The 24,113-nt window shown below is 44.1% G+C and overlaps 1 protein-coding gene across 1 annotated transcript; it reads right to left on the reverse strand.

The window, feature by feature from the left end:
* CCKAR (cholecystokinin A receptor) lies at nt 14,485-23,573 on the reverse strand. The gene is made up of 5 exons (NM_000730.3): nt 23,245-23,573; nt 22,322-22,573; nt 18,726-18,987; nt 16,245-16,372; nt 14,485-15,259 (listed from the first exon to the last, which is right to left on the reverse strand). Exons 1-5 carry the CDS (start codon nt 23,354-23,356, stop codon nt 14,727-14,729), a joined length of 1,287 nt encoding a protein of 428 aa, NP_000721.1. The 5' UTR covers nt 23,357-23,573; the 3' UTR covers nt 14,485-14,726.

A 24,113-nucleotide genomic window follows, 5' to 3' on the forward strand; every position in this document is an offset into this window, starting at 1 on the left:
TCTGGGGAAGTAGTGCTATTTATCTAATTATAAAGACCTTCATTTTCATTGGGCAGGGTGCATCTGGGAGTTAAGAATGGCAAATGCCAAACCGTGTGTCTGCGGGTGTGAGGCTGAGGATCGTACTTTCCACCTATAGGCACAGGTGGAGGCTGCATCATCACTCGAGCCTGTCGGCCCCATTCACTCAGGCTTCCCATGTGCCCACTCCACAGTAAATTGTTTCCTGTTTGGCAGCACTTCTTGCACTTCAAAGAATTTGCCAGAAGAGTCCAGACCTAGGTACCTGCCCAGTTCCTTAGAGGGGACTCAGATCCCTGCAAGGGTATAGCCTTTGGTGAGTCCCAGTCCTGAGCCTTGCTCACTTGACCCTCTTCTGGGGCTGGGGACAATGAATACGTGTGTTCCAAAGGTGTAAATTCTTGCTCTGCCCTCACCAGGGATGTGACTCTGGGCAGGCTTCTTGATCTCTTGAAGTCTCAACTATAAAATGAGGTTAATAATACTCACCAAACTCAGAACCTGGATTTGCTGGCACTGTCTTTGTATATATCTAGGAGCCATGGACCCTGGTCAAACTGTTTTTTCGTAACAGTAGCTTTGACAGGTCGAAAATGTCACAGGAGAGAAACAATGTTGGAAGATAGAATAATGCACCCCCCTGCCAAAGATAACCACACCCTAATCCCTGGAACCTGCCACTGTTACCATTCTCCAGGAAGGCTAATGTCGCCGATCACAAAGGTCCTTATAGAAGGGAGGCAGGAGAGTCAGAGTCAGAGAGGGAGATGGGTAGGTGGAAGCACAGAGAGAGAGAAAAGAAGAATAGGAAGGAAGGAAGGAAGAAGGGAAGGAAGGAAGGAAAGAAGGAGAAGGAGGAGGAGAAGGAGAAGGAGGAGGAGAAGAAGAAGAAGAAAAAGAAAAAGAAGAAGAAGGAGAAGGAAGAAGAAGAAGAAGAAGGAGGAGGAGGAAGAGGAGGAGGAGGGGAAGAAGAAGAAGGAGGGGAAGAGGAAGGAGAAGGAGGGGAAGGGGAAGGAGAAGGAGAAGAGGAAGAGGAAGAAGAAGAAGAAAGAGGAAGAAGAAGAAGAAGAAAGCGGGAAGAGGAGGAGAAGGTGTAGAGGAGAAGGAGGAGAGAGAGAAGGGGAGGAGGGAGAGGAATGGGAAGGGAGGGGGAGGGAGAGAGAGAGATTTGAAGATGCTGTGCTGATGCTGGCCTTGAAGATGAAAGAAGAGGTCACAAGTCAAGGATCCTGAAGGAAGCCTCAGGAAACTGAGAGAGGTAAGAAATGGATGCTCCCCTAGAATTCCTAGAAGAAATGCAGTCCTACTGGCATCCTGAGGTTAGCCCACTGGAACCCATTTCAGACTTCTGAACTACAAGATCACGAATCTGTTTAAGCCACTAAGTTTGTGGTCATTTGCTACAGCAGCCATAGGAAAACGCCATAGCTAGGATTCTTGGACTTGGCTCCAAATGAGGGCCAGAAGTCTGGGAAGGTGACAGAGACTCATTGGTCAGAGGCACTCCTTTCTTTCCTTCCAGATGGGCGCAGTGCCTTTTATGTGACCACCCCGGTCGTGTCCTTTGCATGCGCAGCTGTAGTGCAGCCCTCATTCATATGTAATTTCTCATCTCTCGGTCTTTCTTCTCTGCTGCCTTACACCCACCCCATTGACAGCCCCTGGTTAGGGTTGCCCGAGTACACAAATAAAAATACAACATTGCCCAAGACATGCTTATACTAAGACATTATTCACCATTTATCTGAAATTCAAATTGAAATGGCGTTTTGTATTTTATCTGGCAACCTTACACCTGGAAGGTGCCCAAGAAAACACCTGCAGAATTAGGTCTTGGGATCTGTTTGCTCCACCCCTGGAGAATTTTTCAGCTGGGCTAAAAGTCCCTTAGCCATTTGTGTTCTCTCTTGCCCACCTTGTATATTTGCCTCAACTGGCTGTACTCTTGTTGCAGCTGCTGCCTCTGTGCTTGAGGAAAGTCATTGAAATTAGAGAACAGGAGAGAAAGACAGAAGCAGTTGATGAAGAAGAGGTCAAAGAACAGATGTGAGGACTTGGCTCAAGTTTTCAGTGGTTCCTGCTAGTGCCATGTAAGGGGCATTAGTAAGGTTCCATCTTCTCTGACCATCTTGGGCTGGTTCTGGGCCTTTGGAATGAGTGGACTTTTGAACCCTGCATCCTTCAGGGAGCAGAGGCATATTTGTGGGTGGCTTAAACAACAGAAATGTATTATCTCACAGTTCTGGAGGCTGGAAATCCAAGATCAAGGTGTCAGCAGGGTTGGTTTCTGGTAAGGGCCCTCTCCTTGGCTTGCAGTTGGCCGCTCTCTTGCTGCCTGTTCACACGATTGTCTCTCTGTGCATGGGTGTGCACGAGGCCATCATGACACCTTCATGTACGATGTTCTGTGCTAGATTTGGGGGTTGCTTGTTATTGAAGCACAAGGCAACAAACACTGATGAATAAACCCAGAAACCTCAAGCAGAGTTCTTACATTTCATTGGCTAGAGCCAGTGGTGTTTTAGGGTTGGCTTGTATTGGCTTGTAAGGGCCAGTTGTTAACTTTCCAGAAAACTTGGTAGTTGATACTCAAAATGCATCCATATTAGGCCACTCTTGCTTTTCTATAAAGGAATATCTGAGACTGGGTAATTTATAAGGAAAAGAATTTTAATTGGTTCACAGTTCTGCGGGCTGTACAGGCAAAAGCAGGAGCAAGAGGGAGAGAGGAGAAGTAGGTGCCTCACACTTTTAAATGACCAGATATTGTGAGGATTCACTCACTATTATGAGGATAGCACCACGGGGATGGCGCTAAACCATTTATGAGAAATCCTCACCCATGAGCCAATCGCCTTCCACCAGGCCCCACTTCCGGCATCGAGGGTTACATTTCAGTATGAGATTTGGGCCAGGACAAATATCCAAAGTATATCAGCATCACTTTTTTAATTATTTTACTACAGGTAGCTATCATCTATGCTCTTGTTATTTATGTTTCTTGCATCTGCGTGGTGGAAATACTATAAAATAATGGGCTACAGCACGTCTCTCCCAGCTCCCTGTTCAATGAGGCCATGCTGGTGACTTGAAATTGTCTGTGATAGTATTTATACAATAGAAATCAGCAAACTAGCTATAAATTAGAATTTTTTTTTTCTTTTTCAATTAGAGAGCAAGTTGTTAAGCATCCCTGGCCAGACTGGGACACAAACCTACCTCTCAACCAATAACTAGCAAAAGGGAATAAGATTATCATGTCTGGCACAGATTTATCATGATTTATCTCCTGGACGTAGGCTCTTTTTCTCTAAACATAATGCCATTGTCTCAGTCTGTTTTGTACTGCTATAACAGCATACCTGAGACTAGGTAATTTATAATAAACAAAAATGTATTGGCTCACAATTTTGGAGACTGGGAAGTCTAATACCGAGGGGCCTGCATCTGGTAAGGGCCTTCTTGCTGAGTTATAACATGTCGGAAGGGCAAAGAGAGGGTGAGAGAGAGAGCGAGCAAGAGGGGGCCAAACTTGTCCTTTTATAAGGAGCCCACTCCTGAAATAATGGCACTAATCCATTTGTGAGGGCAGTGGTCCCATGACCCAAGCACTCCCATTAGGCCCCACCTACCAACACTGCAGCATTGAGGATTAAGTTTTCAACACATGCTTTTTGGGGAACACATTCAAACCATAGCAACTGTCAATACCTGTACTGTACCATTATGGAGTTCATGAGCAAGAAATAAGGAGTAGGGTGGGGGGACTGAGCTGTTGTTAGGTGACAAGAAATATACAAAGACAGCATTATGAGAGCTCAGAAAAAACAGACATCTTTTCTGATAGAGAATTTTGGAGGTTTTATGGGGAAGTTAACAGGTGAGCAGAGCTGTGAAGAATAAGATTTTATCAGGAAGTGCTAAAGAGAGGAGAGTGCCCCAAATTGAGGGAGGCATGCATGCAAGGAAGTGCTTGGGAACAGCAAATAATTCTGTTCTGAAAAGAAGAGGAAATTGACTGATAGGGAAGGGAGATTGACTCTTGCTTGCTGGGGACCTGGATGCCAGGCTAAGGAAATCGAACCACTAAGCACTGGGGAGCCACTGGGCAGGGAGAAAAATGATCCAAACCTCATATTGGTAAGGCCAGTCTGTTACCAGAGGGTGGGGTCAAGTGGAGGAGAGAGAGAATTGGGAGGGGGAGAGGCCAACTGGTCAGCAACTGTGACATTTTGGGTTATAAGTAACAAAGTTAATTCTGATTTACAGTGCTCTCAATAAAAATAAAAAAGACCAGCTGGACCAGGTTAATAACTGAAATTAGTGACTTAGACATCATTTACAATGGCTATCACTCATTAAGCACCTACTGTTTGTCAGACACTCTTCACATGTAATTAGTTTATTGAAAGGTGTGGAACAATCAAGAAACAGCTTTGTTTTTCTTCTACCTCTGTCTTCATTCCCTCTCTGTTAGATATTCTGCCCCTGACATGATATCTCTGCCCAACCGATAGCTTTCCCCAAATCTTTCCTGCCTATTTCATCAGGACAACTTCATCTTCAGGTATTTAGTATGATACAAATCCAAACTTTCATCTCACATTCAGTTTGAAGCCTCTCTCTTTTCCTCTAAATCAGACAAGTCCAGGCAAGGCATCTGCAATGAGAAGAAGCTAGTAGTCTTTTCTCTCTCTCTCTCTCTCTCTCTCTCTCTCTCTCTTCCTTGTTCTATTTCTTCCTCTTGAGGATGGAAGGAGAGGTCAGTGGTAAAGGGGCAAAAGTGGTGTCATTTGTAATTCTTCAATGGTCAAAGGACCTTTGGCAAATGCTGAGCCCTTCTCTTTTGGGGCAACTTTGTGGCTTTCCAGAGACCACTCTCCCATGCACACACATTCTGTGAAGACCTCCAATACTGCATCATGTTCTGGTGTGAAGACGCATTCCCTGGTCAGCTCCTGCTCTAGCAGAATAGCCCATGTGGCTTCCTTCTGCCCCAGGGTGACCAGGCCTGGCTACTTCCTATGATGTCTCCTGGATCAATGGAGCCATCCCTCTTTGCCTCTCTTCTGTGAACTGAATGCTTGTGTCCCCTCCCAAATTCATATGTTGAAACCCTAATCCACAATTTCATGGTCTCTGGAGGCCTTTCAAAGGTAATTGAGTCATGAGGGTGGAGTCCCATGAATGGGACCAGTGCCCTTATAAGAAGAGACACTAGAGAGATGATTCCTGTCTCCACCATGTGAAGACACAGCAAGAAGCTATCCTTTTGCAAGCCAGGAAGAGGGGCCTCGCCAGGGACTGAATTGGCTGGCAGCTTGATCTTGGAAGTCCCAGTCTTCAGAACTGTGAGGAATAAATTTCTAATGTTTAAGCCACCGAGTCTATATTTTTGTTATAGAAACCCTAACTAACTAAGACACTCTCTATCCTTGGAAACCTCGCTCCAGTCAGGCTCTTTCTTAACACTTCACAACACTAGACACCAGAAACAAACCCTGAATCCAGGAGACGCAAGTTCCCTTGGAACTATGTTCCCAAATTGAGATCCCATGAGAGGAAGGGTCAATTTTCCCTATGACAAAAACACCACCCTTTGCAAATGTTTCTAGATGCAAGGTTTGAAAGGTGTGGTTTCATGGTGAAGGAAAAGGAAAATGGCACAGAATTCCCTGCCCATTCAGTTGACAACACTTGTCAAAGAAATTCTCTCTCTTTCTCCCCTTTATATTTGTAGGGCCAGGAGAAAAGTGAAGGGGTACGTGTTGAAGGACAAATTTCATGATCTCTTAGCAAATCATGGGCTCGCATCTTGTCCCACTCTTTGGAATGTTGGACAACTTGTCTTTCTCTGTCTATAGCCACAACCTGAGTCTAGAACCCCTTCAGTATCCCTTTTAAATTTAATATCATTAAAATCTTTTAATATGATTTAATATCACTTAATTATCACAAAAACCCTATAAGGAATGTTTATACACTGTCAGTGGGAATGTAAACAGTTCAGCTACTGTGGAAAGCAGTTTGAAGATTTCTCAAAGAACTTAAAACAGAACTACCATTCAACCCAACAATCTCATTACTGGGTATACATCCAAAAGAAAATAAATTGTTCTGCCAAAAAGACATGCACTCACATGTTCATTGTAGCACTATTCACAATAGCAAAGACAAGGAATCAACCTAGGTGCCCATCAGTGGTGGATTGGATGAAGAAAATGTGGCATATATACATCATGGAATATTATGCAGCCATAAAAAGGAATGAAATCATATCCTTTGCAGCAACTTAGATGCAGCTAGAGGCCATTATCCTAAGCAAATCAATGCAGAAACAGATCACCAGGTAATGCATGTTCTCACTTATAAGTGGGAGCTAAACACTGTGTACTAGTGGACATAAAGATGGCAACACTAGTCACCGGGGACTACTGGAAGGGGGAGGGAGAGAAGGGGACGAAGGTGGAAAAACTGACCATTAGGTACTATGCTCAGTACCTGGATGATGGGATCATTCATACCCTAAACCTCAGCAACGTGCAATATACCCAGGTAACAAACCTGCATCTGTACCTCCTGAATCTAAAATAAAAGTTGGAAACACAATAAAATAAAAATTTAAAAACCCTGTAAGGTGAGTACTATGGATGAAGAATCTAAGACTTGGGGGCTGAGCCATTTGCCTGCTATTCCCTACATAGCCGAGCCTAGGAAATGAATTCCAGTCTTTCTGACTCCAAAGACAAGGTTCTTCACCCCTTCCTTGTCTTCACCGCCTTGCAAAAGATGAGCTAGATTTTGAGTCTATGAACCTGGGAGGCTGGGGTACCATTCATAGTTAGAGAGAATCAGGAAGAGAAGTGATATGGGATATGACAACTAGCTCCATTTTAGATATGGTGAGTTTGAAGTTGTGGGGGACATTGAATGTCCCAGCTATGCCCTGTGGGTAACAGTAACTTGCACGTTTCACTAGGGAAGGGCAGACTTGCTCAAAAAGTAACAGGTGAAGGGGAAAACCAGGAAGCTTTTTATTGCAGGCTGGTGGGTCAGTTGGACTGTATTTGTCTCCTTTCTAATGATTCTGAGAAAACAGATCTACCTTAATAATGCTGATAATTTGCTGAAAGTTCATTTACTGTTACTATCACTTGGCTTCCACGAGATGGCGAAGTATATTATCTTCCTTCTAAAGATAAGCACAGGGGCCTGGGTGCGGTGGTTCATGCCTGTGATCCCAGTGCATTGGGAGGCCAAGGCAGGAGGATCGCTTGGGACCAGGAGTTCAAGATGGGCCTCAGCAACATCACGAGACCCCGTCTCTACAAATAATTTAAAAATTAGCGGGGCATGGTGGCGCACACTTGTAGTGCTACTGAGGAGGCTGAGATGGGAGGATTGCTTGAACCCAGGAGTTCAAGGTTATAGTGAGCCAAGATCATGCCATTGCACTCCAGGCTGGGTGACAGAGTGATATCCTTTTTTTAATTTTCAATTTTTTAAAAAAAATTAATAATAAACGTAGAGATGGAAGCATCCAGGACACAAGTGCAAAATTCAGCTTTCAAATCCTCCGCATCCAGGGAGCTCAGAGAGAGACCCAAATGTCCACATGGGGAGGGAAGAAAAGAGAACAAGTCCAGGGATTTCTTTTCCTTAGGGCCGCTACAGCACGTGGCCTCAGAACTATAAAGCCTTACAGGAAGCTAAATAGACAGCTCTTGGTTACTTAGCTGGTGGATGCCAGCTAATCCCACAGCAGCCTGGTGGAATGAGGACGGGGCTCACCCCTGCCTCTGTCATTCACTAGCTGTCTGACCCTGGACATGTTACCACCCCTCAGAGCCTCAATACCTTCACCTGTGAAATGTGGAAAATGATGCCCCACACATGTTGTTTGGAGAATTAAATAAGACACCACATGTAACAGTCATTCATTCCTCCCTCCTGCCACTGTTCATTGTCACCTGCTGCCACTTGTGACTTTCACAGTGCCTATATAAAGCAGGCTTTAATAGATGTTGGTACCCCTGTCAATCCTAGACCACATTTGGTTTTAGAGTGGATTTTTTTTTTTTTTTTGAGACGGAGTTTCGCTCTTGTTGCCCAGGCTGGAGTGCAATGGCATGATCTCGGCTCACTGCAACCTCTGCCTCCCGGATTCAAGCTATTCTCCTGCCTCAGCCTTCCTGAGTAGCTGGTATTACAGGCATGTGCCACCAAGCCAGGCTAATTTTGTATTTTTAGTAGAGACAGGGTTTCTCCATGTTGGTCAGGCTGGTCTCGAACTCCTGACCTCAGATGATCTGCCCACCTCGGCCTCCCAAAATGCTGGGATTACAGGCGTAAGCCACCACGCCTGGTCTGGAGCATATTTTTATGCCTACATCTTAATTAGAATGAAGCTGGTGTTCCAGAGATGAGCCTTTCACTGGTCGCTCTGGGAAGCTGTGACCTAGAAGGGACCGGGAGCCTGGAAACTCCTGTTGAGGCCCCTTCTCTTTATTCATCCTGGAAGCCTTGGTTCTGTGCCTGGGTGTCAAGGAGCTCCTCTGATTGCAAAGTCAATGGGAAGCGAACGTAATTAAGGGAGGGTGTGGAATAGTAAAAGAGTAGCACATTCTTCTTCTTCTTCTTTTTTTTTTTTTTTTTTGATGAGGTCTCGCTCTGTCATCCAGGCTGGAGTACAGTGGCATGATCTTCGCTCACTGCTGCATCAACCTCCTAGGCTCAAGCAATCTTCCCACCTCAGTTTCTCAAGTAACTGGGACTACAGGTGCATGCCACATGCCCGGCTAATTTTTGTATTTTTTCATAGAGATGGGATCTTGTTCTGTTGCCCAGACTGTTCTCGAACTCTCTGCCTCAGGTGAGCCTCCCGCCTCGGCCTCCCAAAGTGCTGAGATTACAGGCATGAGCTACTGCACCCAACCAAGGGTGGCATATTCTGACCCAGTGAGTCACGCAGTATCAGAGCCACAACCCGTCATCCCTCATTATGTACAAGAGGAAATTGATACCCAGGGAGGGCCCGACTTGCTTGGAGCCACACTGTAAGTTAGTGATAGCTGCTGAGATTGGGATATAGACTTTAGAATTTCCAGTCCAGAGTATATCCGCTTTACTTGTAGAAGTGGCTTTTATGGTCAGTGAACTCAAAAGCAAAATTTACCAGGCATTACATACAGCGAGGACGATTGGAAAGAGAATGCAATTGCAGAATCAACTGCCTCCTTTATCAGGCACTACTGCACCCTCTGCACAAAAGCCCTCTTGGTTGGGAAGGCATGCCCTCCCCAAAGACACCAGGAAAGAACTGGCATCAAGGAACAATGCCATTCAAGTGTATTCATTCATTCACTCATCTACTTATTCCCTGAAATGTTTATTGAGCACATGTTATGTTCTGTGAACAATGCTAAGTGCTGAATAATGTGTAATTGTCTGACTTCTCTTCTTAGGCAAGAAGGAGGATCTGAAATTCCACCCGGGCTGGGTTTCCAAGACCTGACGTGCGTCTTGGAATTGTGGGGCTGGCCCTGGGCTTGTGGGATCAGGTTTAGGAAACCAGGAGGCTGTGTTATACTTGAGCGGGGCCAGGAAGCCAGAGAAGTCAGAAACATCCAATTCAAAGAGGCAGAGGGAGGGGAGTGCCATGCTTGGAGCTGAGAGCCAGCCACGGGGAGTCGGCAGATGTAACATGGGTTCAGGTGGCCCAGAAAGTCTCCCAGAGGTCCCCAGAGAGGCCCTGTGAGAGAGCAGATGGATGGGAGGGCAGGGCCAAGGGAGCCACGTGGCTTTGATAACACTTATCACTGCTAAGGAGTGAACTGGATACTTTGGTATGGATTAGACACGTGGTGATGGTTTTTGACTGTTCTCCTTAAAGGGAATGAGGGCAGGAGTCACCAAGCTGAGGGATACCATAGACCACAGGCTCCCAGCCCTCTTCTATCGGTGGCTTCACATCATTCACAGGTGCAACACCCTCCCATTGGTGACATCTTCTGAGACAGGAATAATACAGGGTTGTCTTAGGAGGATAGAAAATTCCAGGCAGCAGTTTCCCATGACTAGCAAAAGGAAACTGTTGAAACAGCCATAGAGGCTACAGGCTGATAAGATCCTGAAAACCGGGGTGTGGACCAAGCTGGCTAAGACTGCCTGCATCCAACATGGTGCTGGATCTGACTAGATTTCACCTGGGACCTCATTATTCACTCATTAACATACTAAACACACACCCACCAGTGCCATGACCGTTCTGAGACCACCCATATTTGGTGTAAAAATGGGTGGCATCACAGCTGTGAGAGATTGCCACCTTTTTTCCAGGAATCTTCATGAATATTCCACCCCTTGGCCAGGTGCGGTGGCTCACACCTGTAATCTCAGCACTTTGGGAGGCTGAGGAGGGCAGATCACCTGAGGTCAGGAGTTCGAGACCAGCCTGGCCAACATGGTGAAACCCCGTCTCAACTAAAAATACAAAAATTAGCTGGGTGTGGTGGCGGATGCCTGTAGTTCCAGCTACTTGGGAGGCTGAGGCAGGAGAACCGCTTGACCCCAGGAGGCGGAGGTTGCAGTGAGCCAAGATAGCACCATTGCACTCCAGCCTGGGCTACGAGAATGAAACTACATGTCAAAAAAAAAAAAAAAAAAAAAAAAAGAAGAAAAAGAAAAAGGAAAGAAAGAAACCCATAGAGTAGATGTAGCAGCCCCAAACTCCACTGTGTGTCTCTCTCTTGAGTATACCCACACCCCCCTTTTCTTTTCTTTTTTTTTGAGACAGAGTCTCGCTCTTTCGCCCAGGCCAGATTGCAGTGGCGCTATCTTGGCTCACTGCAAACTCTGCCTCCCGGGTTCATGCCATTCTCCTGCCTCAGCCTCCCGAGTAGCTGGGATTACAGGCGCCCGCCACCGCGCCCGGCTAATTTTTTGTATTTTGAGTAGAGACGGGGTTTCACCGTGTTAGCCAAGATGGTCTCGATCTCCTGACCTCATGATCCACCTGCCTCGGCCTCCCAAAGTGCTGGGATTACAGGCGTGAGCCACTGCGCCCAGCCCCCCTTTTCTTGAGTGTGTACTTTTCCCTTTGCAATAAATACTTTCACTATTTTCTGACTTGTCCTTGAATTCATTCTTGTGATGGTGTCAACAGCCTTGACACAAACTGGGTTCCAGGCCCCACCGGCATTTGGGGACTTCCTCCAGCCCACCGGCATCACTTTGATTACATTCACCCTCTCCCCACACACACATCAAGGAGGAAAGAAAAGGGGAGGCAGCAAATGTTCACACCTAGAATCTTGGATGGGGATACACCAGAGTTGGAAAAAGTCTTCTAGAAATTCTGCTGCCATGCCCCTCCACCTCCGCAAGAATGTGCCTTTCCTTGTTGGGAATCACAGCTGTGGACAGAAAGAGAGGGCGCCGGAAGCGCAGGTGCACAGTGGAAGTCAGTAACAGCGTTTATTGAACACACAAAGTGCGGAGTACGGGGCAAAACACTGGAAGGAAATACAGTGGAGGTTCGACAGTTGTTGTCAGCCTCATGAAGGTTACATTTGATTTGAATGGTGAGAACGCCGGTTAAGCATACACAGACGTGTGTAAACAAGCCACAGAAATACACACATGCTTCGTCACTACTACACGCTTATGATATGAGATTTCCACAGGAACTGGGGTACAGGAAGCCACTGAGACACGCAGCTTAATTGAAGAGCAAAGATACCAAGTCTCCATCCCAGGGTTCAAGTTCTACCTGGCTACTCTGGGGATGAGTGGGAGCTACCAGAAGACACTAGAAAATACCAGAGAATGATGATGAATGTGTTTTCTTAGCTCTATTAGCCACCGTATTTCAAACTCAAATTAGCATTCTACTTTAGCATGATATAAAGGCAGTTAACAAAGTACTGACAAAATAGAATTATGTCAATTTTTAAAAAAAGTAAAATCAGACCGTCTTAAGGACAAAGATTCTAGAAGTTAATGCCTTTTAAAATTCTTTTTAAAACAAGCTTCCATACATGAAAGACTTTCCAATAAATTTAGTGAATAGAGGCATTTTACCACTCTGTATCTGGGAAATTGTTTTTATTTTTATGTGCTTTTAAAAATTTTGTAACTTTTTTTATGTGCTTTAAAAATATTTTAAAGTAGGGTTGCCAGATAAAATACAGGATGTATTTTAGTGCATGACATGTGGTCATCCTAAAAGCTATTCATTGCTGACCTGAAGTTAGAATTTAGCAGCTATTTTTAGGTTAACAGGCCTTTGGAACTTCCAGAGCTTCCCAATAATGGGGGGCCTAATTTATCTTCATTTATATGCTAACACTGCTAGAAAGAAGGACTTATTCTTCTGGCAGGAAAATTGTAGATAATGTAGGGCTTACTCAAATATTGGAGAGATTTTCATTTCTCACACCCTTTATTGTCACCATTTTAGCAGTGCGTGTTTGAGTCAGTTGAATTTTTTACCTTGAAATCTTTGACTGAGGTGGCTAGTGACAGATAGTAAAATTAGATTGCAGTCTGAGGAACAATCTGGCTTGAAATGTCCCCTGCACTAGTCACACACTCAATAATTTCTTCTGTTAGCAGGTGACAATCCCCCCCTCCAAAAATGTGACACTCACATCTTGTCCCATTACATATCTGTTATGCTATTCATCATCACTTCTTGTCACTCTCTTTCCTTTTCCCCTTTCCACATTGAATTTTTTGGAGAATTGAAATCCTTGTGTGCCACACAGAACATCAGGCCTGGATCAATGGATGGCCATAACCCCATGGAAACAAGAAAAAGCAAAGCTCACTTCCCTGATGCCTAGAGGCATGAAACTATGAACGGTGGTTTTGTTTGTTTGTTTGTTTCCTGTTTGCTTCCCACACTAGCAGGCAAACTTGCTTTTGTCAAATATGTTCACGTTAATGTGTGTAAGCAGACAGGACAGTGTTGCTCTAAAAAAAGTGAGAAAGAAGTCTTGGTAGACTGAACTGATACACACTATTCTAGAACTGCACTTCCTGGTGTCTGAATGTACAGCTTGTATCTTATTTGAGATTTCTAAATTAGAGGAGAGATATTTCAACACTAATTCTGCTAATAAATGAAGTTCGCATGAAACTTTGTCATGAAGGAATGTAAAATTATAATACTAGCTGAATTCCTATAACTATTCCTATAAAAAAAAATAACTATTCTTTTTTCTAAAGAACACCAAAGAGTATATTTATATGTAAAGAACATAATTTATGTTTTGTTTACACGTATACATAAAATTAGCAAATTATTAGCAAGCATATAGATTGCATTTAAAGGCATGGACAGCTTTGACATTCAAAAGCTATTTGTTAACTGAGTCCAAGTATGCCGGTTTTAATTCTGGGCCTGATTATACGTGTTTCTACCTTTGGCCAGGTAGATGTAACTTACAATGCTCCTTTGTTCCCGGAGATCTTTTCTGGGAAGACAGAAATATAGATGAATATGAGAAATTGAGTTGAGGCAAAGAAGTCATGAGGTTTAATATCACCATATAAAGGAGAAATTAAGTAATATATATCATTAAAATAGAAAAAATATTCCCATGCACCTTCTGCCACTTAACATTCCTTAAAGTAAGATAGCATTCCATCCAGCTATTTGCCTTGTACTCTTTTCTCTTTAGAAATGCTAAATTCAAGGCTGGGTGTGGTGGGTCTTGCCTATAATCCCAGCACTTTGGGAGGCCAAGGTGGGAGGATCACTTGAGCCCAGGAGTTTGAGACCAGCCTGGGCAACATAGTGAAACCCCATCTTTACAAAACAAACTACAAACAAACAAACAGCTAGCCAGATGGTAGCACATGCCTGTAATCCCAGCTACTATGGAGGCTGAGGTGGGAGGATCACCTGAGCCCAGGAGGCAGAGTTTGCAATAAGCTGAGATGGCACCACTGCATTTCAGCCTGGGTGACAGAGCCAGACCCAGTCTCAAAAAAAAAAAAAAAAAAAAAAAAAAAAAGAAAAGAAAAGAAGTAAGTATTAAGTTCAAACTTCCATCTTTCAGACATTGCTTATGCTATTCTGATGACAACTAGCTTATGACTCCGAATGTTCTTGGCCAACCTGAAGATGAAGAAATCAGGCTGCTGTCGTACCCAGGACAAAATGGCCAGAGAGGGTTTGCTTCCTGTTCCCTTTGTGGTCACAATGAGGTGGAAGGCTACAGCGGATACATGATAGGGTGATGGGCTCCCTGCAGGCAGAGCAACCGCCACAATTCTGCATGAGCAGAAAAAGCAGAGCATGGAAATGTGTCACAGGAGGAGTGAGAGCCCACCTTGGATGTTCTAGAAGGTTTGAAAGCTCAGTAGGCCCCACATCTCCGTTTTGAACATGTGCTGGCAACTCCATTTGCAGTATGAGCCCTGCTGGACTCCCGTCCCTGGCCTGCTGAGGATTTTCTGATGGTGAGTGTTACTTAACATATCCTGCTTTGAACTGCCTAGAAACCAATCATGGCCCCACTGGAGCAGTGCTCTGGAATCCAGATGAAGGATGAAAAGCAGACCTTGAAGAGTTCCCACTGGAGATGGAGCCTTCCTTCTCCATCAGCTCTGCTCCTTCTCTTCCTGATCTCTTCTTCCGTTCTTTCTTCTCTGCCTCCTCCCTGCCTTCCTTCTGCGGTGGAGGGTCAGGGGACATCTCACTGGGGTGGCACCGAGGCACTCATATGGCTGTACGAGAACCTGGACAGAGAGGCTCCTGTGGTCCCGCCTTCCTCCTCCTCCCCCACCTCTCCCCTCGCCCCTGGGGGACCAGGATTGGGGCAGCAGGGGAAGGTGGCCATGAAGCCGAGGCGGAAGCGTTTGTTCATGAAGCAGTAGATGATGGGGTTGACGCAGGAGGAGGTGTAGGACAGGAGGAGGATGAAGGAAATGGGGGTTCCTGAGAGGCGGCGCTCTGCGGAGGCGGTGTCGTAGGCCCGCCAGGCGTTGGCGCTGAAGATGGGCATCCAGCACAGGAAGAAGAGGACCACGATGACGATGAGCATGCGGATCACCCTTTTCTTGGCCATCAGGTTGGCTGCGGAGCTGTTACTCCGGATGCGGTTGGCCCTGCTGCTGCTGCCGGTGGACAGCTGCCGGAGCTCCAGCTTCCTCGGGGGCCTGGTCTTTTGCAGGTAACACCCATCGCTGTCCTCATATTTGCCGCTGCTGGTGGTGCTAGGTTTCCTTTCTGGGTGGGCAAGAGACATCACTCATTGCTGGGGATGGGTCATGCCCGGTAGAAGGCATGGAGCCCCCACTCCCCTCCATCAAGAAGTCCAAACCAAACAGGAACTGAGAAATGGCAGACAACCTGGCCTTACACTGATATGGGTAAGCATTGATCTATACTAGTTCTTCCCTTCAATGAAATGCTGCTTAAAATGAATAAAATATATAATAAAAACAACATCTTATGGATGTAGGTTACAAGAAAAAAATTATTAAAGAATGAATATTCACACTCTTCTCCTTTCCTTCATTAGCTCCCCAGAGGGAAGGTTCCTGCTTGCTGGGTAAGATTCCAGATTGCTTTTATGATGAGGAATCTGGATAAGAAGAAAAAATCCCATGAAAACCAAAGAAGCTAGAGAGACTCAGTTATCTGTGTAGTAGACAGCTGAGTTAGGGCATGGAGTGAGAAGGGAAAAGCTATGTCAACAAGGGTGTCAAGGTCAATTTTCATGGACAGTGGATTGTAATGAATGGAGAAGGAATGAGGCTTTGTGGCCACTGCAGGGTGAAAATAAAAAGGAGAGAGGATGAGGAGGAGACAACAAAAAGCCGGCTGTGGGTTAGGAATCAAATCCCCTCCAGTACCTTTGGAGAGACACAAAACAGGCTGGAATTACAAGTAGCTCTGGTTATGGAAAGGGGTCTGTTTGAATACAGCACTACAGAACAGCTGGCACAGAAAAGGCCTTGGCTTGTTATTGGGTTATATGTGGGTTACTTTATTCCACTCAGAATGCTTTTGAAAGGAATGATTTCCCCATTTTACAGATAAGAAAATGAAATACTGGGCCCGTGACTGTGCTTCTTGACACAGAATCTCATAAGAATACTTAAAAGCTTTTCCAACAAACTTTACGTACACTCTGGGTATATCTATTTAAATGATAGAAAACAAGCTTTTGTGCTCATTTGGCATAAACACACAGCTACAAGATAGTTACCTTTAGCAGACTTCTTCTGGCTAGCCTCAAATTTTATTCCCTGGTAGAGTTCCAAAGAGATTAATCCATATGCCACCATCATCACAATTCCAGGAATAAGAAAGAGGATGAGTAACAGGAATGTGTGCCTAATGAAATCAAAAGAAATCCAATAACCAGCAACTTTAGACCTTCAAACTCAAATGGGAAGGAATGAATAGGGTTTATGTTTATTTTTACTGGCCTGAGCAAACACATTAATTACTAGTATTTAATATCCTTGGCAACTTCATGTCTGGAGATTCAGTCATTATAAGTTGTTTACTTCTTTTCTTTTTTTAGATGAAGTCTCTGATGAAGGACTAGTTTAATTGGAAAAGTTTGGCGTAATTCTGTGCTTGAAAGAAGTCTATGTATGAAAAAGAATGTAAGCTTTAAAAAATAAGAGTATGTGAATAGCATTTCAATAAAGCTGTTTTAAAAACCCTTAAAAATTACTTACATACATCGAGGATTTCTATGTGCTACATATAGGCTAAGCATTTTACATACATCACTACATTTAACTCTCATAATAACCATTGAGGTAGGTGCTATTGTCTTAATACCTACAGCAGAGAGGAGGAAACTGAGACTTAAAGAGATTAAATAATTTGTCCAAAGTCACACAGCTGGTAGCAGAGGTGGAATTTGAACCCCCAAAATATGATTCCAGAACCTAGAAGCTATGCTTTTAAGCATCACGGTATACCATTTGCCAAACAACAGAGTAATCAAATGCTTAGGTGGGGACAATGGAAAACCTTCTGGGTCTTACAAAACATGCCATTCTGGCTGTTTCCAACCCATAAGCAGCTCAAACATTTACGTGGGCGTCCATTCTCCATGACCCTGTGAGGCTAGCATAGTGGCATCATCATTCTAGTGCCTGGTTGGGTAGAGCTATGCTTTTTCTAAACATCTTTGATTACTGAAGAATCACAGCCTCCTTCTTTATGAGTCTGGCCCCTAAATCACTTCTGCAGTCTGGCATGTGTGAGGTTACACGATTAGGCCATAAAATTGTCAGAGGCTCATGGTGGCTGGGCCATTTCTCACTTCAATTTGACATGTTTTGATAAGATTCCTTTTCAAGCCTTGGAAATATTCCTCTCATTTGCAACGTAATTCCTTTGTGTGTGTGCTACTTGGTTGAAATGAAAGGAGGAAAGCAAAAAAAGCAGAGATGATCTCAGTTTGGGGCTGTTACTCAATGTCTAGTTCCCTGCTTCTAAAACATCCCTGCAATTGGTAAATATAATACCCTGCAATTTGTGTAGCCTTTTTTATAATGACATTTTTATGAACATACTCTCCTTGGTATCTTACAGCCACCCAATGAGGTAGATTTTTAAAATATCCACATTGTTAACTCCTTATAGAGATAAGGAACCTGACGTTCAGAGAGCTTATGTGAATTTGCCTAAGGTGTGCAGTTAGTAAGCAAAGGAACCAGTATTAGAAACTTGCGTTTTTATTTCTGGTAAAATGCTCTGGGTAAGTACCGGAGCTGCTGCAGCTCTAAGAAAAACCATGTGGGATTTGGGACTCATTCCCTGCTCTGTCTTAATTCTTTAGAAAATCATTGCCAGCTGCAGTGGCTCATGCCTGTAATTCCAGCACTTTGGGAGGCCAAGGCGGGAGGATCACTTGAGCCTAAGAATTCAAGACCAGCCTAGGCAATATAGTGAGACCCAATCTCTATTTTAAAGTAAAGATTTTATTAAATAAAAGAAGGCCGGGCGCGGTGGCTCATGCCTGTAATCCCAGTACTTTGGGAGGTCGAGGCGGGTGGATAACCTGAGGTCAGGAGTTCGAAACCAGCCTGACCAACATGGAGAAACCCCACCTCTAATAAAAATGCAAAAAAATTAGCCGGGCATGGTGGTGCATGCCTGTAATCCCAGCTACTCAGGAGGCTGAGGCAGGAGAATTGCTTGAACCCGGGAGGTCGAGGTTGTGGTGAGCCGAGGTCACACCATTGCACTCCAGCCTGGGCAACAAGAGCAAAATTCCGTCTCAAAAAAAAAAAAAAAGAAAGAAAAAGAAAGAAAATCATAGCTCTACAATTAATCAGCCTAACCCTCCACTACAGCATTTAGAAGCATACTGCATAATGATTAAGCACAGAGCCTCTGCCTCTTCCTTAAGTTTGTGAATTGGGAAACTTAACCTTTCCAAGTCTCAGTTTCCTCAACAGCAAAACGGACACAATAATAATAATACCTATCTTAGAGTGTTTTCAGAGGATTGATTGAATGAATATATGCATGGCATTTAAAACAGAGCTCGCCAGCTAAGTGTTTGCTATCGTGATTATCCTAGAACGAGGCTAGAAAGACCTTCTCAAAACGTCTCCAGGAAACTGATCCCCCAACCACTCTGGGCAAGGCATCTCAGTTTTTCATGATATTGCAAAATTACATCAAGCTGTATTTTTAAAAATAAACAATGCAACCTTACCAGGACTGCTGCATAACATCATTTGGCAGTAGAAAGCGGCACATATTCGCGGTCTGGTTGTTATTTTTGGTAAAAGGCACCAAGTTGCTATAAATGGGGTACGGAGTCATGATGGTAAAGGAAAGGCACCAGGTAGCAGCAATCACCTTCAAAGCATGGGATTTTGTCTGCCAGACCCGGGACTGTAAGGGTTTGCAAATCGCACCATATCTCTCTAGAGATATGGCTACCAGATTAAAGGTAGATACACTCACAGAGGTGCCTGGGAAAGGAACAAAGAAGCCGGTTATGTTGACTCTGAAATCCAAAGTTTATTTGCACATTAGCTTGAATATATCTGATCTGCACAGGTTTGATATCAAAGGAAAACGCTTGGAAGGTAAAGAAATATTGTGTATGTATATTTTTAAAAGATGATTTATTCTCAGCTTTGTTCCAGAAAGGGTTTAAGGCAGTTAAAGAAATGGCTTTGTAAATATATCTCATTGCCAATTTTTAATAAGTTTATTGAGCTTTGATTATCACCTAACACCTGCTTAGGCTCAAGGTGCTCATTAATTAATAACCAAGGGGATGAAATTCATTCTTGCCCCCACAGAAGAGGTTTCTCTAAAATCTGAAGAAAAGCTGTAATTTTGAGTATCGTCTGCATAGTTAAAATGATTTTTAAAACCCGAGATTCTCAAGGGCTCTGTGACCCTGAAAGGTCACTGTGATGTGAGCCGGAGGCATGAAGGTTTTTTCTAAAAATTTTGAGTACATACTGTTCTTAATAGTGAAACAATCTATATTTCAAAATGCAGCTTGTTGAAAAAATAAGTAGTAAAAAAGACGAGGGAAAATGCCCCATACAGTAACTAAAGGTTTCTCTGGGTTGGGGACTAAAGTCTCTTGTCTTATTGTTTTTGTTTTTCTGTATTTTGTAGAATGAGCAAGCATCACCATTACAGTGAGGAAGATATTAAATGCACCTCATTTAAAATCATGTATTTCTTGGCTGGGTGCAGTGGCTGATGCCTGTAATACCAACGCTTTGGGAGTCCGAGGCAGGCAGATCACTTGAGGTCAGGAGCTTGAGACCAGCCTGGCCAACATGGTGAAACCCCATCTCTACTACAAATACAAAAATTAACCAGGCATGGCTGCACGTGCCTGTAATCCCAGGTACTTGGAAGGCTGAGGCAGAAGAATCGCTGGAATCTGGGAGGCCAAGGTTGTAGTGAGCCAAGATCGCACCACTGCACCCCAGCCTGGGCGACAGAGCGGCACTCCATCTCAAAAATAAAATAAAATAAATCATGTACTTCTTGGTCTTAGATGGCCTATGGAAAAAAAATTAAAATAAAAAATGAACAAAATCATGTGCTTCGGCATTGCCCAAAAAGCTTAACTTCCATTATTTTTGTATTTGTATATGCATACTTATTAAAATGTCCTATTATTCCCTTAAAATTCCCTGTAGAGTCCTTCTGCTATAAATTCTGTCAATTCTTCTGAATATCTCTTACCAAGATTTCTTAAACCTCAGAATTAATATAAATTTGGGAGCAGAGGTCCTGAAACTGGGGTCCTTAGATTCTCCTTATTCTTATGGATATAAACTAATTCTCTGAAACTATATCCAAAAATGTCATTTTTCTAGGGAGCCTAGCTCTAGCTTTCCTTAGAGTCTTAAAAAAGTCTATGACCCCCAAACCATTAACTAAAAACTCATGTTCTGGGGATAGGATTTGCTGTGTTTTACTGGATTTTACTCTAAAGAGTTGATGACATTTAGAGTGAAGAGTACGGCCCAAAAATCTCTAAGACTCAGTTCTGCATAATGGATCATCAATAACTATAAACTCACTGGCAGGCAAGCATTCTTTTTCTTTTTGCTACAAATTAGGAGCTAATGAATGTTAATTATTAGTATTGAGGAGACTGCAAAATTAAGAGAAGAGCCTAAATTATTGGAATTAAAAATCCAACAAAATTATTATGGTATTGCAAATACTTTCAGAATGATGTTGCTTTTCTTTTGCCCAATAAAATATTTTTTATGCAGTTGAAATTTACATAACATAAAATTAACCTCATTTCAAACTGAACAACTCTGTGGCACTCACAATGTTTTGCCACCATGAAAACACTCATTTAAAATCTCGGTTCACATTCTCTGGTTAAGGTTCCCAAATAGTATTACCATAAGATATATATGGATGGGCCTCGGATGTCTACAGTGCTAGTTATTATTATTGCTTCATTATTTAACAACGATCTTTTTCCTTTGTAAGTTTTGTCTTTTTTTTTTTTTTCAGAGGACTTGGACATGGATTGACACATTCTTGGTTTTTGGTGGCACGAGGGTCAGTAATTCACCATCATTTTGTCAGTGTGGAATCCCACTTCCTCAACTGGGAAAAATGAGGACTTATAAGGCTTTCTGGTCATTGAAGACTGCCCTAGCCTAACTCAGTTCTGCATATTCTGCAAGGCTTGGGTCAGAACAAAAAATAACTCCCTTCTTATTTCCCATCTCTGCCCTTCTCCCAACTAATTCTCAGAAAGGGCAAGGGACTAGGCAATCTGGCACCCAGAGGGGACCAAGAAATGTGTTTTTTTGTTCAACTTTAAGAGAACCACAGCAGTTGGCAAACTGAGGTATCATGCTCACCATTGTGTGGCTACAAATCTGGACTCAAATCTCAGCTCTGTTGCTTACCATCTGTGTGGTTCTAGGCACATTATGGACCTCTCTGTGCCTCTGTTTCCTCCTTAGGGAGACAAGGAAGAATCATTGCATTTACTTCATAGAGTGGTTGGGAGATAAGGTAAGATCATGGAAGGCAAAGCACTTAGTACCACATGGGGTGCATAAAAGCGCTAAAAAAATTTAGCTCTTATGATTTTCATTATCATCATTTTTGTTTGGCATAGGCAAAGAGCTATATATCTCAGCCAATCAGGGTCAGCTTAGCGACCCCATAGCCCCCAGGAGCAAATTCAACTCCTCATCTAGGGGCAGAGACCTCTCTCTCTCTCTCTTTCTGCCAGAGATGGCCCCAGCTTTGGGGAGAACAGGCTGGGAAGTGAATCCTGAGAAGAGAATCTGAAACTGCGATAGAACTGGTTTTCAAATAGCCCCTGTTCCCTAAGAAAACAAAAGAAACAACTGCAAAGAACCCTCCTCCATCATCCTCACCCTCCCTAGAAGCCAGGACTCAAGTTGTGTATAGATCAGGACACAGTCAACAGCTTCCAGAAAGGGATAGAGCAGCTTAAAGTCACTTCTGACTTCAAACAGAAGCAAGCAAGTCCCTCTTCCCTTCAAATAGAAGCAAGCAAAATCAACTGCCCCTGTGTTTTCCTATCAATTTATTTCACTCTTAGAAACTGACCTCCAACATGGATGATGGGGACCGACTTGTGGGGAACGTATAAGGATGACTGTCAAGCCAGCACCAATGTCCGTGCACACAGCCATGCACAGCCTGATGTTCTGTGATTCAGCCCTCAGCAGGGCTCCTTTGCTGTGATTGTCAGAGGTTTGGGAAGGTCTGGGGCTGAGTGGGGTCTGGGGCAAGCTCCAGAAAGAGTCACCAGCAGCAACTTACCCATGAAGTAGGTGGTGGTCTTGCAAACGGCGCTCCCGAAGATGAAATCCTTGAGCAGATTGGGGATGAGGTTGAACGGCATGCAGAAGAGACAGAGCATGAGGTCGCTGACAGCCAGGGAGAGGAGGAAGATGTTGGTGACCGTCCGCATCCGCTTGTTCCGAATCAGCACGGTGATGACCAGCGTGTTTCCCAGCACGCTGAGCAGGAATATCAAGGAGTACAAGAGAATCTGCACCGCTGGCTGCCACTCTGCAGAGAGAAACAGGAGCAAGACGGAGGGATGGAGGTGATGACAGCAGAATGCTAAAACCGAAGCCAAGGGTGAATTCCTGCCGATTTTCCCCCCACCGGGGTGTACATCACTGGACCCACGATTCCTGTCCTGGCAACATTTTGCGGAAACAAATTGAGGAAAGCAGAGACTGAATTATTTTCTTTTTAGAAGGTTGGTTTGTTAAAGGATCACTCAGGGAACCACTTTTTCTTAAGAACAAAGCTCCTCAAGTGAACAGTGATCACTTTCTTTCCTGGCTGCTAAGCATTATTTCACTTTAATCACTTCATGCTGGGTTTCCCCCCAAGAAAAGAAAACAGCTGCATGGTGACAACACCTTTTCTGCTGTGCTTGTAAGTTCAGGCTTTGACACTTGTAGTCCCTCTTGCTTCACTCAGCTTTTCCTCCCCTGCTTTTGTTCCCCCAAGTCCTATTCATGAATGCCCAACTCCCCCATGGGGGACAATAAGAATATTTGACTCTATTCTGCTTTTTAATCTCTTCTCCAAACTTCTGAACATATGACTTTATCTAGCCTTGTCTCACAATGACTTGGTTATATATATTTTTTATCAGCCTTGCCTTTGCTGATTTCTCCCACAACTCAATAGTTTCCTGAATTAAAATAACAGCTTCCGACACTTACCTTTGGAAGGACGGGGCTGATCCAAGCAGAAAAGCGTCTCATTTTCGAGCCCGAGTTCACAGGGAGGAGTGATGTTGCTTCCATTCACAAGAAGGCTGTCAACCACATCCATCCTTGCCTGCTGCTTTCCACCAAGTGCTGGAGAGCTGGTGAATTGCTCACTCCCGGCTCATTCCTCTAATGACCGAAGCGTCTCGCAGATGCAACCTGCCGTGGAGGAGCAGGGAGGGAGTGATTTCCAGGTGTGGGCTTTTTCAGCCATTCCTAAAGGCGACTTGAGTTCACCTCACTCACTCCAGCATTTGTACTCCTGTTGTGGAAAAGGCAGTGAGCACAAGCCAAGCCCGCTCCACCTTCACCCCGCCCCACCTCCCCCGGCCCTTTCCTGGGCCAGTCTTAGGGCCCTGAGTACAGACAGCCTGGCTACCCGTTAACCATTCTCAGCGTGTGGCTGCTTTTTACACACATGTGTACATATGCACGGACACACACACACACACAGAGGCTTCCCCAGTACTCCTCTATATAGGAACCCGTCACCATCCCAGACATATGCAGAAGAAAGCCCAAACCGGCTGTGTGAGACAGGAACAATTAACACGGTAACAGATCCGATAATGCAGACCATCAGGCCTAAAGAACACGGAGGGACTGTGTTCTACCTCCTTATAGAAAAGCAATTAGTGCCTTTTTAGCTTTGGAACCATGCCCGGTGGTGTGTGTGTGGACAGAACTGCTGGCTGGTTGTTAAGTTGCTACTAAACACAGTGTTGTTTCTCGTGGTCTCTGCCCTTGTTAACTAGGATTGAGGCACTTTTGAACATAGGTACCTGGGTCCTTATTACAAAAGACGTTAGTGAGATTTCCTC

This window comes from Homo sapiens, chromosome 4, assembly GCF_000001405.40.
Source record: "Homo sapiens chromosome 4, GRCh38.p14 Primary Assembly".
NCBI lineage: Eukaryota > Metazoa > Chordata > Mammalia > Primates > Hominidae > Homo > Homo sapiens.